Genomic DNA, 15,757 nt, shown 5'->3' with positions numbered 1-15,757 from the left:
CTTTACTTACGACGAAGCTGCACTGTGGAGGAGACAAGGGAAAAGGCAAGAGTTAATGCCAGGCCGGGGAGCATCCTGCCGGGCAGGCCACATGCCCAGCTGTGCCAGCAAGCCTGCGTGGGGCCTGCCCTCCTGCCAGCAGCACCCCCACCGCCTCTCCTGTCACCCAACCCTCACCCCAGTGGTGGAGGTGTCCACAAGTACCTCTCACCTTAACTACACAGATCCCCAGGGCTCACATTGAGCCGGCCAAGCCTCCAGGCTGTAGTCCAGAGCCCACAAGGTCAAGTGCAGGACAGTGCCCTCAGAGGTCAAGACAGCCGGTGGCCACAGAGGCTTCAACCGGCCCCTAACAGTGCCAGGCCACACTTGCCTCCGCCCAGGCTCACACTACTCCCAGTATCTTACAGGACAGACTGGACCTTCAGCCACACTGCCCAGCTCCCACAAAGCCCGGCCTGGGCACAGGCCCCTCACCTTGGGGTCCATGCGCAGGGGAGTGTTGCGCTTAATAAAGGACTTCATGACGCTGCGTGGGGCTGAGGTCGGGGTCATGAGCATCTGGTTCCTCTGCACTGTGTGCAGAAAGGTCCGGAGGGGCCGTACCACCTGCAGACGAGGACCAGGGTCAGAAGTGGGCAGGCGGGGCAGGGTACTGAAGGGGGTCAGGGCTCCAGGAGAGGGCAGGTGCCTGGCTCACCTTGCTGGCTGGGCAGGGTGAGGAAGGGGTCTTGCTCCTGGGGGGCTGCAGCTCCTCATCCTCCAGGTGCTGCTCCTCGTCCAGCTCACTCACGGCCTGCTTGTAGCTGCGCTTCCTCCTGCCAAGGCGCGGGCGGCGGCATCACAGGGCAGCCCGCCACAGCCCAGCCACACCCCATCAAAAGTCACCCCGGTGAACAATACCGGGCCCAGGCCACAGGCCTCTAGACTGAAAGAGGCTGCAGAGCCTAAGCAACCCTCTGCTGCCCACTCAGAGGAAGGGAGGTGAACAGTCCAAGGTCACATGGCCAGGAGACCACACTAAGACGGGGTCAACAATCGGGTCGCCCTATTCCCAGGTTTGCGCTCATCCACAGCATGGAGCTGCCTCCTTGGTTAAGTCACAACACCAGGCCACACCCCAGCAGAGAGGCTCTGAAGCCCCTGAGCACACATCCACCTTCCCTGAGCAAGGACACAAGGCCACATCCTCCAGGGCCCTCAGAGTTACCTACACACCCCTTCCCGGATGCAAACCTGGCACTCTGCGGTGGCTCTCTGGGTCCATCTGCTTGGTCCGTCTTGGCCTCTGTGAAGACAGCAATTTCAGCAAGGCTGCAGAAACGATGGCGGCGGCAGGGTGGGAATGGGGGTGTAGGGGGAAGGGGTCCTTGGGCAGCAGCCTTGGCAGTGGGCAAGGCTCCCTTCCTGGCAGCTCCGGGGTGGCCAAACGCAGACATATCAGCCTTAACCCTGACTAGCCTTGAGGAATCTACAAGCACTTTGGGAGGCCAAGGTGGGCGGATCCTTGAGGTCAGGAGTTCAGCACCAGCCTGGCCAACATAGTGAAACCCGGCCTCTACTAAAAATACAAATCTACAGATGCCAGGGCCTGGCTACCCCCAGCTCACGAACACCTCCCCGCGAGTGCCTGGCTCTATGATAGGCAAGGCAGGGCGGGACGGTCCTGTCGAGGCGGCAGCCCCAGACGTGCCCCACCCACCTCTGACACGAAGAACAGTGTGTGGACGCCTTGTAGAAGCAGGAGCTCCAAGCCCCTTGCACAGCTTCTAAATTCCACCCCTCCTGGGCCATGCAGCTGGTGTGGCCCTGACAGCAGGAGGGGGCAGCTCCCGCTGCAGGGTCAACATGGAGGGTGTAGGGTCAGTATTGTTTTGTTTCACTGCTAGGAGAAGGTGCACCTTACTCCAAAAGTTCCTCACAGCAGCCCTTGGGGCTGCAGGGCTGGCATGACCATTGTCCCTGACCACGTCGTAAAGAGGAGGAGGCCGTGTTCAAGATCTCACAGCTACAGTGCACTTTCCACCAGAGAGAGGCACCCTTCTCAGGGAGATGTGAGCAGGACCCTGGGACACTCCCAAACCCACTGCTCTCCAGCCCTCTTTAGACAAGGATGGACATACAAAGGTCAGAAAGGAGCTGGCGGGGGAGGCAAAGCAGGAGGCCAGGTGGGGTGTTCAATCCCCAGCCCACAGCTCTTCCCACTGGCCCCTGGAGTCAAGGTCAAGGCCTTGACCTGGCCTCTTCATATCCATACCCCGATGCAGCCCCTTCCTCTGCTTCCTGTCCCAACCAGCCACAGCCCCCCATGCTGCACTCAGTGACAGCTCCAGCCCAACGGTGGGAGGTGAAGTCTACAGACTCAAAAGGGATCTCTGCACCCCCAGGTTTAATTTCTCTTTAGCCTACTGGCCCAGAAAATGGGGCTTCCTTATCCCCAGAGAGAAGGTCAGGCCGAGGCCGCCAAGGCCCGCTGTGGCTCCGGGCACTGCACACGGCAGGTCAGGAAGCCTCACCTTGCTGCCCTGCAGAGGGTGTTTCCGGGCTGCTGGCTGCAGGCTTCGGGTTGGGTGTGCTGTTGGCAATCTCCGTGTCATTGTGGGGCCACGAGTTATTTCCATTGTTCTCAGGGACCTGTGGAAAGAACCAAGGCTTTAGGGGTCTTGACCTGGAACCCAAGGCCCAGGATGGCCGTAGTGCAGAGCGGGAGCCCCAGAGGTGAGTCCTCCCTTCCCCAGGCAGCCGTCTTACCTCTGGCTCAGCTGCCGCCACAGGCTCAGCCTCCTCGGGGGGTTCCTTCTGCTCAGAACTGAAAACAGAAGAGGGACTCTGAGGGGACTGCCCAGCTAGTCCAAGCCCTCCCCCTAGGGAGTCCCTCTACCATTCCAGGGATGGGGACCCAAGAGGTCAACACAAGGTGCCCTGGCCAGGGCCACGAACCCACAGCCCCCTGTAGGATAGGAGGATGGCAGCTCCCGGCAATGGCTCCATGGACAGACGAGGGATGTCAGCTTCAGAATGTGGCTTCATCTCCCTGGCACCCCACCACAGAGCTGTCTCAGGATGTGAGCCCTGTCCTCAGCTCCGCCTCCACCTCTTGGGCCCAGGTGAGCTGCATCTCTTTTGTGGTCTGTTCTCTATTCACCATGGGGCTGGCAAGGCCAGCAGGTCTGCCCTGTCACCCTGTTTCCCCGTCCCAAGAACAAACCCTCTGCTCTGCAGCAAGGAGGGAGGGGGCTGGTTTTAGTGATGGCAGGACACGGCCTCCAGGAAAAGGAGTCTGTGTCCTGGCCCGAAGCAGCACTGGGTGTAATCCTGGAGCACTCCTATCCTACCCCAGCCAGTTTGAATGTAGCTCTTCCTGGCAGCCCCGCCTCACCCCCAACCTCTGGAGCCCACGCCCCAGGGTCAGGTCTAGCCAGGCAACCAGCAACGCTGACGGGTGCTGCAAGGAGACCAGGTGGCCAACACCCACATCACTCACTGCCTGGTCAGACAGGGAAAACGGGGCAGCTCCTGGGCGGTCAAGGCTCAGTGGGGAAGACTCAGCCCAGGAATTGCTTCCAGCCCTGGTGCTCACCTTGGCTCCCTGTCCTGGTATGCCCTGCCTACCTCCGAAGCCCTGGAACTGAACTCACCCAACTTTCTGGGGCACCTCAACATTCAGGAGCCTCTCCAGGTAACTGTGACCTGAGGGGGAAAAGAAAGGCACAAAAGATCTCATCAGAGACCACACAGGTCCCACTCTAAGGGGTCCAGGGGACCGGGTTCCAGCAAGGGCCTGGCCACTGCTCCCATCACTAGCCGTGGAGCCCCCACCATGCCCAGGACCCTCCCCTCAGCACTCATACTAGTGTCCTTATCGGAGCTGCTGGCTTCATGTCCCCGGCTGCTTCCCAGATGGTCTTCCCATGCCCATCTGAGAGCACGGCTGGGCACCTTCACTGGGCTGGGAATATCTCGAGAAGAGGGACAATGTTTGCTGCAGCTCCAGGCCCCAAACTCCCAGCATGGGGCCCAACACAAAGCAGCTTATTCTGTCAACAAATATTCATCAAGTGTCTACAGTGTACTGGGACCTGGGCCAGGCCCCAGGACCCCAATGGTGAGCAAAACAGAACCACCATCTGGTCTAGATAACAATCATCAAATAGTCCTATCAACAACACCAGCATGGGCAATGGTGGAACAGAGCAGAGAAATTTTTTTTCTTTTTTTTGAGACGGAGTCTTGCTCTGTTGCCCAGGCTGGTGTGTAGTGGAACAATCTCAGCTCACTGCAACCACTGCCTCCTGGGTTCAAGCGACTTCCGGCTAATTTTTGTATTTTTAATAGAGACAGGGTTTCACCATGTTGGCCAGTCTGGTCTCGAACTCCTGACCTCAAGTGATCCACCCGCCTCGGCCTCCCAAAGTGCTGGGATTACAGGCGTGAGCCACTGCGCCTGGTCCAGAGCAGAGAATTTTAAAAGCCTATGATGGGGGGACCTGAGCTGGCCTGGAGGAGTTTACAAAGGAGGAGGATGTCCAGGCCAGTGGTTCTCAGCTTGCATCCTCTGACCCTTGGACGTCCTTGAGACCCATGGGGGATCCACGAGGTCGTAACTAATCATGATACTAAAATTATGATACTAAAATGTTACTTTCCCTTTCACTATGTTGACATTTGCCCTGATGGCACAAAAGCAATGAGGAACTAGCTGCTGAAGCCTCAGCCCCAGTCAAGGCCAGAGCATCAAACACTATCCTCGGACCACACACTCACGGGAAGGAGAGATGTCCAGTTTCACTGAGGAATGTCCTTGATGAAGGTGTAAAAAGTACTAATTTTTTTTCTTTTTTTGAGACAGACTCTCACTCTGTCACTCAGGCTGAATGCAGTGGCGCAATCTCAGCTCACTGCAACCTCCACCTCATGGGTTCAAGGGATTCTGGTGCCTCAGCCTCCCAAGTAGCTGGAATTACAGGCATGTACCATCACACCCAGCTAATTTTTTATATTTTTAGTAGAGATAGGGTTTCGCTATGTTGGCCAGGCTGGTCTTGAACTCGTCCTCAAGTGAACCACCTGCCTCAGCCTCCCAAAGTGCTGGGATTACAGGCGTGAGCCACTGCGCCTGCAAAAGTCCTAATTTTACTAAATCTAAACTCAAGTACATGCCATTCTACTCTTCTGTGTGCTGAGGTGGGAAGTGTGCACAATGCCTGTTGCTGCAAACCCAACTCTCTGTGAAAAGCGCTCGTCTCTAAGCTGCCAGCTGCACTAGCCACTTTTTCACCTGAACCACTATTATTAATTAAAAGAACGACTGACAATGGTTATTCAGTCTTGGGTATCTGGAAGACATTTTTTCACAAGTCAATGAAGTGAATCCATCACAAAAATAAAACACCACGTGCTGACAATAATTTAAAAATTGGGCCAAGGCCGGGTGCGGTGGCTCACGCCTGTAATCCCAGCACTTTGGGAGGCCGAGGCGGGCGGATCACTAGGTCAGGAGATCGAGACCACGGTGAAACCCCGTCTCTAGTAGAAATACAAAAAATTAGCCGGGCGTAGTGGTGGGCGCCTGTAGTCCCAGCTACTCGGGAGGCTGAGGCAGGAGAATGGCGTGAACCCGGGAGGCGGAGCTTGCAGTGAGCTGAGATTGTGCCACTGCACTCCAGCCTGGGCAACAGAGCAAGACTCCATCTCAAAAAGAAAAAAAAAATTGAGCCAAAACGAATCCAAGAGTAGAATTTTGAAAAGCGCGTATCCACCACCAGCAGGGTCACAGCATCCTAATATCTAAGGACTTTTCTGATGAGGTCAGAAAACAAATGTGCTTTTTTAGGATATTATATAATGAAGGGTGTCAACACTTGGAAGACGTGCATAACTTGGTGAAACAATATTTTCGAAATGATCGATGTATGTGGTTATGAAATCAGACACATCTAAAAGATCCATTCAAAGTGTGGCCAGTTGTGGTGGCTCACGCCTGTAATCCCAGCACTTTGGGAAGCCGAGGCAGACGGATGATTTGAGGTCAGGAGTTTGAGACCAGCCTGGCAACATGGTGAAACCCCGTCTCTACTGAAAAGACAAAAATTATCCGGGCGTCGGTGGGCACCTGTAATCCCAGCTACTCGGGAGGCTGAGGCAAGAGAATCACTTGAACCGGGAGGCAGAGGTTGCAGTGAGCTGAGATCGCACCACTGCACTCCAGCCTGGGCGACAGAGTGAGATTTCATCTCAAAAACAAAACAAAACAAAAAAAAACAAAACAAAGTGCAAGGTAGACCCGTGTGGAATCAGCAACATGGTTTCAGATTCCACACCACAACAAACCTTTAAGAACTACCACTTCTTGCGCTGGTCCTGATAACAAAGAATATGCATAATTATCTGAAAAAGCTATGAAGATACTCCTCCCTTTCCCAACTACACGTCTATGTGAGGCCAGATGTTCTTTAGCTACTTTTTTTTTTTGAGACAGAGTCTCACTGTATCACCCAGGCTGGAGTGAAGTGGCGTGAATTCAGCTCACTGTAACCTCCACCTCCCGGTTTCAAGCAATCCTCCTGCCTCAGCTTCCTGAGTAGCTGGGACTACAGGCACGTGCCACCACGCCCAGATAATTTTTTGTATTTTCAGTAGAGACAGGGTTTCACCATGTTGGCCAAGACAGTCTCAATCTCTTAACCTCATGATCTGCCCACCTCGGCCTCCCAATGTGCTGGGATTACAGGTGTGAGCCACCTCGCCCGTCCAGTTCTTCAGTTACTTTAACCCAAACAACACAATGCAACAACAGATCAAACGCAGAATGTGGCTTATTTAAAGTCATACAATAAAGAGATTTGCAAAATGTAGAATAATGCCAGTGTCTTCAGTACATTTTTGTTTTGGAAAAGTTATTTTTTCATAAAAAGTCTTAATGTAAACAGGTGATAGGCTTGGTACTTGCATTTTATAATGTTAAAATATTAAACAATATTTTTAAATCTTTAAAGTACTAAATATTCATATAAAAATATTAATATTTAAAATACTTTTAAACTCCTCAGTTTTAATTTTTAATACAGTAACGATCAATAGATATAACCTCATAATCAAAGCTTTTTTTTTTTTTTTTTTAACAGAGTCTCACTCTGTCTGGAGTGCAGTGGCACAATCTCAGCTCAGTGCAGCCTCGACCTCCTGGGTTCAAGCAATCCTCCCACCTCAGCCTCCTGAGTAGCTGGGACTACAGGCACATGCCACCATACCTGGCTAATTTTTTCCATTTTGGTAGAGATAGGGTCTGGCCATGTTGTCCAGGCTGTCAAAAGCTTTTTGAGGCTGAGGCTTAATCATTAAAAACAGGAAGCCCAGGTCCCTCACCCTCAGCACTCACCCTGGTATCCTCACCACAGCTGCTAGCTTTATGTCCCCGGCTTCTTCCTAGCTGGGAGCATGCCTGTTCCCAGTGCCACTGGTCTAGGGAGAAGGAGGGCCAAGGCCATGAGGCAGGAAAAAAAGAGGCTTTTTTGGGGAACAGAGAGAAGGTAGCTGAGCTGGCGCATCCTGAGCCATGGGGGCTTGGTCAGAGTTCAGGCTGGGAGGTGGCCAGCGGGAGGTTGGGGTGCACAGGGTCTCAGGAAAAGAGGGAAGACAGCAGGCCAGGCACAGAGAAGGGAAGCCAGGACCCTTCCTGGGTATAGCAGCCAGGTTTGGGGAGGTGGTGGGAGCAGCTGCAGCGCCGGGCTGACAGTCATGGGTGGTGATGACCCCCATTTAAGGGGTTTATACCCAGAAGATACATCCTCCTCATCTCCCCATGCTGTGTCATCCCAGCTCACGTGCTCCCTGATGAAGACGCCCATGTGACTACATGGCTCTCCCACCAGCACAAGCATTCTCTGGAATGCTAAGTGCCATCTGCACGACATTCAGGCCTCAGAGCTGGTCTGGTGGTAGGGAAGTGGCCTAAGCACTGGCAGAGGGATGGAAGGACTGTTCTCCAATGCAGAGGTGGCTCGAACGCCCCAAGGTGGAGTCCTGAGGCAGTGGGCCTGTCCCTTCCTATCCACTTCAGAACTGCTGCCCGATGGGCCCCGCAGGCACGTGCGCACCAGGCCAGGAGGCAGGGGATTCCTGCTGACACACAGCAGTTCCACGCCCCGGGGCCACACTCTGGCTTCCAGAAGCCCCCTCCACCCACGCTGACTGCTGGCTTTTTTTCCTATCTCATTTTTCCATTCCTCTGGTGCAGGTGTTTCCTTCCCATCCCGAATTTAATTTTTGGGAAATTAAATTTGTTAATTTCCCAAAAATTAACAAATTGAACTCAAATCCTTGTGTCAAGGGCTGCTCGTGGGGAACACCCAAACCAAGACCCCACCTTGGAGCTGCCCGAGAGCCTCTCCCAGAGCCTGGTATCAGGAAGACCCCCAGGAAGCCTCCTCCCCTGTCACCGCCCCACTCCCTGACACCCTTGCAGCTCCTCACTAGGGGTCGGCCTTGTCGCACCCAAACTGAGCATCAGCCATTGGTGAGTTTTCTCAAATAAGATGTACTGAGTATCCACTACACTCAAGCACTAAGATGAGTTATCTATTCACATTCAAAGCAAGTGTTATCACCATTTCACAGAAAAGCTGAGGTTGAGAGAAGGGGTGTGCCCAAGGTCACCCAGGGTCTGTGTGACTCCAGATCCTAGATCCTGTATCCTCCTCTCTCTCCTCCACCCCCTCAAGAGGAGAGATGATGCTGGGCTGGGAGTCAGACAGACCCAGGTAACATGCACCAGTCAAATCAGAAGCCCATTCATGGGCAGGGAAAGGGTAGACAGAGAGGGAAGAGTGATGGAAGGGCATGAGAGCTGCAGATCTGGATGTCTGCTCCAAAGGTCTCCAGAGATTCTCTGCAACCCTGCCTGGCCCTCCCTCTACAGGCCCAGGCTCACCTGCCCCCGCTTGAAGCCCCTTCCCAAGATCAGATCCAGGCCTGAGAAAATCTCCAAAACAGATCAGAACCATTTAGATCCTTCTGAGAATCCAGAAATAGACAGTGTGGCAGACTGCACATCTGCACACGCCCCAGAGTATGTCACCCCAAACCCTGGAGCAGGCCCGTCCCCAGGCAGTGTGACTCAGGCAGAGAGAAAGCTGCCAAGGTGAGGTGCCCTCCCCTGCCTGACAGGCCCTGCCCTGCGGCCTTGCACAAAGCCTCTTCTGCAAGCACCTGACTTTCTGGACAGAATGAAACACACAGCGCTCAAGCCCCAGCTTCCCGATTTACAGACTCCATGGCCTCCTTAAGCCTCAGTTTCCTCCTCTGTAAAGTGAAAAATTCCTCACAAGCTAACAATGCTGCTGTAAGGACCAAATGAAATAACCTTTCATTTTATAAATCTTAAAGTGCCAGGCAGATGCCAGCTACTATTTAACATGCGTTGAGATAAAACCTGGGCTGGGCGCAGTAGCTCACACTTGTAATCCCGGCACTTTGGGAGGCTAAGGCGGGTGAATCACTTGAGGTCAGGAGTTCGAAACCAGCCTGGCCAACATGGTGAAACCCCATCTCTACTAAAAAACAAAAACACAAAAATTAGCCTGGTGTGATGGCGGGCGCTTGTAATCCCTGCTACTCGGGAGACTGAGGCAGGAGAATTGCTTGAACCTGAGATGCATGCAGAGGTTGCAGTGAGCCGAGATCGTGCCATTGCACTCCAGCCTGGGCAACAGAGCGAGACTCTGTATCAAAAAAAAAAAAAGATAAATCCTGGCCTATCCTCGCCACCAATCCGCTGCTTTGCCCGTCCTCTGCCTGCATCCTTACAGCAGCCTCCTATCTGGTCTCCCTGTTTCCCTCACTTTCCCATCATCAAGCCACTTCTTTTGCTTCAGTGGGGTCAAGTTCAAGCTCTTGTGTGAGCATGAGCCCCAGACACCCATCACTTGTTGCTTTAGGCATCAGGGTCTTCGTACAAGCTGTTCCCTCTGCCAATAACACATATCCCCGCATTTTTTTTCCACTCAGCAAAAGCGCAGCCATCCTTCAGAACCCTCCCAGCTCAGATTCACCTCCTCATGCAGCCAGCCTGCCCCTCCAGACACCTGCTCCAGTGGGCAATGGCCCCCTAAGCTGAGATCTGAGAGAGCAGCTAACATTACCGAGTCCTTCCTATATGCCAGGCACCCTTCTAAACTCCCTGTGTGGGGTGACCAAAGAAAACCTCACAACGACCCTTTGAAGTGACGCGATTAGCCCCAGTTGACAGGCAAGGAGTGGAGGCCCGTGAAGTTTCCAGGACCTGCCCCAGGCTGCAGGGTGGGTGAATGGCTGAGTTGGCACTCAGACCCAGGCCGGCCAGCTCCAGAGTCAGCTTGGTTCCCCCTCCTGGCTCCCATCAGATGCCCAGTCATCTGATCTCCCCGAAGGAGCCTGCTGCCATAATTCCCTCCTCCAGATCAAACACAGTGTCGCCAATAGGCGGCGCGCAAACCCGGTGAATTTAAGTGGCCTCTGCAGCATAGGGTTGGGAGGAATGAGCTGGCCCTGCGGAAGAGGCCCAGGCTCCAGCCTCAACATGGCCAGTAACCACAGCCACACAGTGGCCGACCTTCCCGAAGCTCAGTTTCCTCACTTGTAAAGCAAGTAGGTTGGGTCAGACCTGCACCATCCAACGTGGAAGCCACTAGCTACATGTAACTATTTAAATCTAAAAGAAGTAGAATGCAATACAATTTAAAATTCAGTTCCTCAATCACACTAGCCACATTTTGAGGACACAATCGCCAGATGAGGCCAGCTAGCGGCCACCATCCCAGGACAGCACAGATGTGTAACATCTACCTCACTGCAGAAAGCTCTCTGGACAGCTCCTTGCTAGATGATCCCTCAGAAAGCCTCCATCTGAGCCTGGCACCAAGGACCACCCGCCACTGCCAAGCCCCCAGACTCACAGATGATGCGGCCAGAGGCAGCTGGCTCTTCGGCAGTCTTCTTGGCAAGCCTTCTGCTCGCCCTGCGGACAACACTTTCCTGTTTGGCCACCAGAGAGTACTTCTGGGCTAAGACTTGGGGACTCGGGGAAGACGGGGCGATCGGGCTGTGCCGCACCGATTGAGAGTCCGTGCGAGAGCCCGTGGGCGTGGAGAAGTTATCCGGCAGGATGGGAGCCAGCACCCGCTCCCGCCATGGAGAATCTGGAAAGGCTGGCGAGTCCCGTGGGCCAGGGGAGACCTGCGCAATCCTGAGCTTAGACGCAGACCGCCCCGTCCCGACCCCTTGACCCTTGGGGTCCTGGGGTGTAGCCATCAGGGAGCTCACTGTGATGGACTCCAGTATCCTGGCCTTCGACTTCTTAGGTGTTGATTCCTCATCTGATGTCGGGATGCCCTGGGAGGTTGGAGCTGTGGCTGAAGCTGGAGTCGGGGACAGAGTGCGGGGCAGAGGCTCGGTGGACATGAGCTGGGTGACATGCTGCTCAGCATTCTGGCGCTCACTGATGCCGATCTCCACCACAGGCACCAGCTGGCACTGGGTGTGGTTATCCTCGGGCTTCTTAGTCAGCATCGTGGGAGACTCAGGGGTGGGTGAAGAAGGTGCAGCCAATGCCATGGTAGCCGCGGCAGCTGCAGCCGCAGCACGGGTCACACGCCGCAGGACGGAGCCGTTCTCCCCGACCACTGTAGCCAGCTTCTCTACACTGTCCTTGCTGCGGAGGCGTCGGGAGCTCAGCTGGCTGCTCCGAGACTTTCTGCGGGATAACCTGGCAGGGGCAGCAGGGCAGAGGCTGAGACGGGCAGCAGGACAGGGTGGCACCCAGTCTCTCCAAGAGCCACCAGCTTGGATAGAGTATGATAAGAGAAGGTGAAGGCAAAAGATCTGGGTTCCAGGCCAGATTCTGCCACCTCTAGCCATGAGGCCCCAGGCCATTCTTGTCTGAGCCGCAGTCTTCCTAACTGTAAATTGGGGATCATGCCACAGTCCGCACAGAACTGGCTAGGAAGATTATATTCATCCAAACCTCCGGCTGACTGAAGTTACACCACACCGAGCCCCTGCTGAAAGCCTTACACACGCTCTGCCTTAATCCAGAGCACGCCCTTGAGAGGCAGAGACCACTATCCCCATTTTAGGGATGAGGAACGGAGGCTCAGAGAGGCAGAAATTCAATTCAAAGCCGTACTGCTCTGCTAAGGGGCAGAGCTGGGGTTCACACCCAAGCCTAACCCCAAGACCCAGCCTCTTTCCCTAGCACTCTGCAGCCCCAATCATTCCTGAGGGGGACTAAAACAAGCATGACAATATGACGGCTGGGACAAGGCACGTGGTCTACACCCCTGGTCACACTCACCTAACAGAAGGATGGCTTCTCTTTCTCATCCCACCTACGGAAATCTTTCCCATTCTCCAGGGCCCAGATCAAACACACCCACCCCCAACACACAGCCACAGATTTGGACTCCAGGGTCTTGGGTCAAGCTATAGTTCCCTGTGGCATCCCAACCCCTCTCAGCATGGCCCACGCAGTACCCGCGGTGGTACCCACCACCCCTCCTACAGGCTGCTACTTCCAAATCAACACCTTCAGAATCAAACTCCCAGATGGCACCAAGCCTCCGCAGAGCCCACTGCTCAGCTCACTCTCCCCCAACCCCTCCTACCTTCTCCTGATGGGATCTCTGTTTTCATCCTGAACATAAGAAATCCGTCTCTTCTTCCGTCGGTTCTTCTGAGAAGGTGTTTTGGGCATCAGCTCTGGCTCTTTGCTGAATTCTCTGTTTGGCACAAGGAGGGTGTCACTCGAGGCTGCCTGGGAACCACTGGTCCCCTCTCCCACCCAGCCTGGCCCCTGCCCATTTCCTGGCAGCGACAGGTCAAGCTGGGGTGTCCAGCACCAAGTGAGCTCTCCAAGGCCATGTGCAAGTCACCTGCGGGCACTCAGGGCTTCCTCCTGGAGACACGGCAGGGAAGCAAGCTCCCAGGCGCACGTCCATTGCCACATACCCTGAGAGGCCCAGCCAGCAACGATGGCGAATAGGCAAGGGACTGGATCTCTCCTGCTGCCTCTTCCCATGACACTAGGTCAGGCCCCCAGCACACTGCACACACAGTATACAGCAGGGAGCCCTGACAGGCTGTCTGTTTTGCCAGGTAGGCGGGGACGAGGGGCTGTTGTGTCCCCAAGACCAAAGCAGCCCAGACAGGCCCTGGTGTTCCCAGCCTCTCACTGTGCCCGTCTTCACCTGGTGAACATGCGCTCGGCCTCCTCTTGGATTTCCTCAAGCCACACCAAGTCCTTATTATCCATGTTGCAGAGAAACTCCATGAGCTTCTGGTCACATAGCTCCAGCAGGTGAATGGGCCCTGGGGCCGTCGTCCCCATGGTGGCTCTGTCTGGTGAAGGCAGGGACAAGAGGCACAAGTTAGGGGCCCAGGGTAGGGGTCTGGGGCTTTCTCCAAGCTGCAATACCCACCTGACCCACAACCACCACAAACACCCAGTGCCCGAACCAGGGCCCCTCTCTGCTCACAGCCACTCCCCAGAGCTGCAGAATTCCAAACACTCATCCCCTAGCCTCATCTCTACAAAGAGAAGCCCTTCTACTCACACTCTTCAAATACCTCCCTGTCCCCACCCCCCCGCCAGCATGACTGTCCCCATAAGTCCACAGTTCCCAACCAATTCTGACATTGACAGTCCTCCTTATAAATGGCCTTTTCTGGGCTTAAGATGACAGGGCACTGCCATCTGTCTTCCTGGCCACCCCAGGGCCCCTCACTCCCTGCCCAAACACAGTCCTGCTCTCGCTCTCCAGTAGGCCCTCATCTTACTACTCATGGTTAAGTGAGGGCTAAGACACAGCCACCCTGCACTACATACAAGCTGACTCCAGACATCAGGCCAAAGAACATCAAACCCAACTGCCTCTTTAAGAGGCCAGTGAGCAGAAGAGATTCTGTGTTCCAAAGGAATGAGTGAGAAAGTAGTGATCCAGAGATATGCCCTCAAGGGGCCTCCCACAACCCTCTCCCTTGAGCTGAAATGCCCTCCAAATGGAGCATAAATAGAACAAGAAGGGAACAGTAAGCAATATCTTGCTTTTAAGAAAACTTGCCTACAAGCATTGAGCAAGAGAAAACACAAAAACAGTTTTTTCTCACTTTCTTATAAAACTAGCAGCTCAGGTATCCTCCTTAAAACTTGATAACCAGCCGGGTGCAGTGGTTCACACCCGTAATCCCAGCACTTTGGGAGGCCGAGGCAGGTAGATCACATGAGGTCAGGAGTTCAAAACCAGCCTGGCCAATGTGGTGAAACCCCAACTCTACTAGAAATACAATTAGCTGGTCATGGTGGTGTGCGCCTGTAATCCCAGCTACTTGGGAGGCTGAGCCTGGAGAATCACTTGAACTAAGGAAGTGGAGGTTGCAGTGAGCCAAGATCACACCATTGCACCCCAGCCTGGGCATCGCAGCGAGACTGTCTCAAAAAAAAAAAAACAAAACAAAAAACTTGATAGCCATTACAAAAACTTCAAGCAAGGAAGAAGTACAATCAGCCCTCCATATCTGTGAGTTCCACATCCATGGATGCAATCAACCACCAGTGGAAAATATTTGAAAAAGAGCTGCATCTGTACTGAACATGTATAGACTCTTTTCCCTTGTCATTATTCCCTAATAATACAGTATAACAACTACTTGCATAGCTTTTACATCATATTAGGTGTTATAAATAATATAGAGATATAAAGTATACAGGAGGATGTGTGTAGGTTATATGCAAATACTATGTCATTTTATATCAGGGACTTGAACATCTGTGGATTTTGGTATCCAAAGGAGGTCCTGGAACCAATCCCCTGAGGATTCCAAGAGACAACCATATTCTACTACATCACAACAGGGGCTCATTAAATATCCCAACAGGTGAATGAGTGAAAGAACAAATGAATGGGTGGTGGTCATAAGCCATAACAACAAACTGCATGCCTCAAGTCAATGGCAGTGATCCACCATCCTGACTTACCTCTTTAAAACCAAGAACTGGCCGGGCACGGTGGCTCACGCCTGTAATCCCAGCACTTTAGAAGGCCGAAGTGGGCAGATCACGAGGTCAGGAGTTCAAGACCAGCCTGGCCAACGTGGTGAAACCCAGTCTCTACTAAAGATACAAAAAAATTAGCTGTGTGTGGTGGTGCACGCCTATAATCCCAGCTACTCAGGAGGCTGACGCAGGAGAATCGCTTGAACCTAGGAGGCAGAGGCTGCAATGAGCCAAGATCACACCACTGCACTCCAGCCCAGGCAACAGAGGGAGACTCTATCTCAAAAAAAAAAAAACCATGCACAACTCAGCCTCCCACCTACAATGGAAGGTCTTGTAAGGAAGGGATAAATTGCTGACCCCTTGATCCCTCACAGGGCGTAGCACCAGGTCAGGTTTCAGTCTCATGGGACTTCCTCAGGCTTGATTCAAGGACACAGTAGTCTTTGTTCCTCAACAAGCTCTGCCCTGCGTCTGGAACATTGTCTCACATTTTGTATGGCTCACTCCTCATGGCTTGGATCTCAGATCCTCAGGAAAACCTGAAAACCAATCTAAAGTAGCCCCAGCCATGATCCCATTCATTGATTGTAATTCTCTGCAGAGCACTTGCGTGCTTGTTTACCTGTTGCTTACTGCCTGTCCCTGCCCACTAAACAATTGCTCTCTGAGGGCAAACCCCTGTCTGTCTTGCTCATCGTTGAATGCCCAGAGCACAGCAGTGCCTGGCAA

At 53.6% G+C, this 15,757-nt stretch overlaps 1 protein-coding gene across 8 annotated transcripts in view, besides 2 other annotated features; it reads right to left on the bottom strand.

The window, feature by feature from the left end:
• The window catches only part of INCENP (inner centromere protein), a 29,159-nt gene that overhangs the window by 11,648 nt on the left and 1,754 nt on the right, over positions 1-15,757 (bottom strand). For 4 of the 8 annotated variants that reach the window (XM_011544995.4, XM_006718533.4, XM_011544996.4 and 1 more), the window contains exons 2-11: positions 13,221-13,371; positions 12,639-12,752; positions 10,932-11,740; positions 3,639-3,690; positions 2,752-2,809; positions 2,517-2,634; positions 1,237-1,288; positions 701-818; positions 478-609; positions 11-22 (exon numbers count right to left, since the gene is read on the bottom strand). In XM_011544995.4, the coding sequence (XP_011543297.1) occupies positions 11-22; positions 478-609; positions 701-818; positions 1,237-1,288; positions 2,517-2,634; positions 2,752-2,809; positions 3,639-3,690; positions 10,932-11,740; positions 12,639-12,752; positions 13,221-13,360 (1,605 nt within the window). In that variant the 5' untranslated portion in view covers positions 13,361-13,371. The remainder of the gene's footprint in view (positions 1-10; positions 23-477; positions 610-700; positions 819-1,236; positions 1,289-2,516; positions 2,635-2,751; positions 2,810-3,638; positions 3,691-10,931; positions 11,741-12,638; positions 12,753-13,220; positions 13,372-15,757) is intronic. The other 4 variants (XM_011544997.3, XM_047426886.1, XM_011544998.4 and 1 more) reach the window with 1 other exon arrangement.
• Positions 11,130-11,631: an enhancer, noted in NCBI's record as "H3K4me1 hESC enhancer chr11:61897363-61897864 (GRCh37/hg19 assembly coordinates)". NCBI's record gives its function as "activates a minimal SCP1, AML or CMV promoter by ChIP-STARR-seq in naive H9 embryonic stem cells {active_cell/tissue: H9 hESC(naive)}" and the evidence as "EXISTENCE:reporter gene assay evidence [ECO:0000049][PMID:30033119]".
• Positions 12,658-13,157: an enhancer, noted in NCBI's record as "H3K4me1 hESC enhancer chr11:61895837-61896336 (GRCh37/hg19 assembly coordinates)". NCBI's record gives its function as "activates a minimal SCP1, AML or CMV promoter by ChIP-STARR-seq in naive H9 embryonic stem cells {active_cell/tissue: H9 hESC(naive)}" and the evidence as "EXISTENCE:reporter gene assay evidence [ECO:0000049][PMID:30033119]".

Source organism: Homo sapiens, chromosome 11 (assembly GCF_000001405.40).
Source record: "Homo sapiens chromosome 11, GRCh38.p14 Primary Assembly".
NCBI lineage: Eukaryota > Metazoa > Chordata > Mammalia > Primates > Hominidae > Homo > Homo sapiens.
The sequence above is the reverse complement of the archived record's forward strand: the minus strand, read 5'-3'. Positions and strand labels throughout refer to the sequence as shown.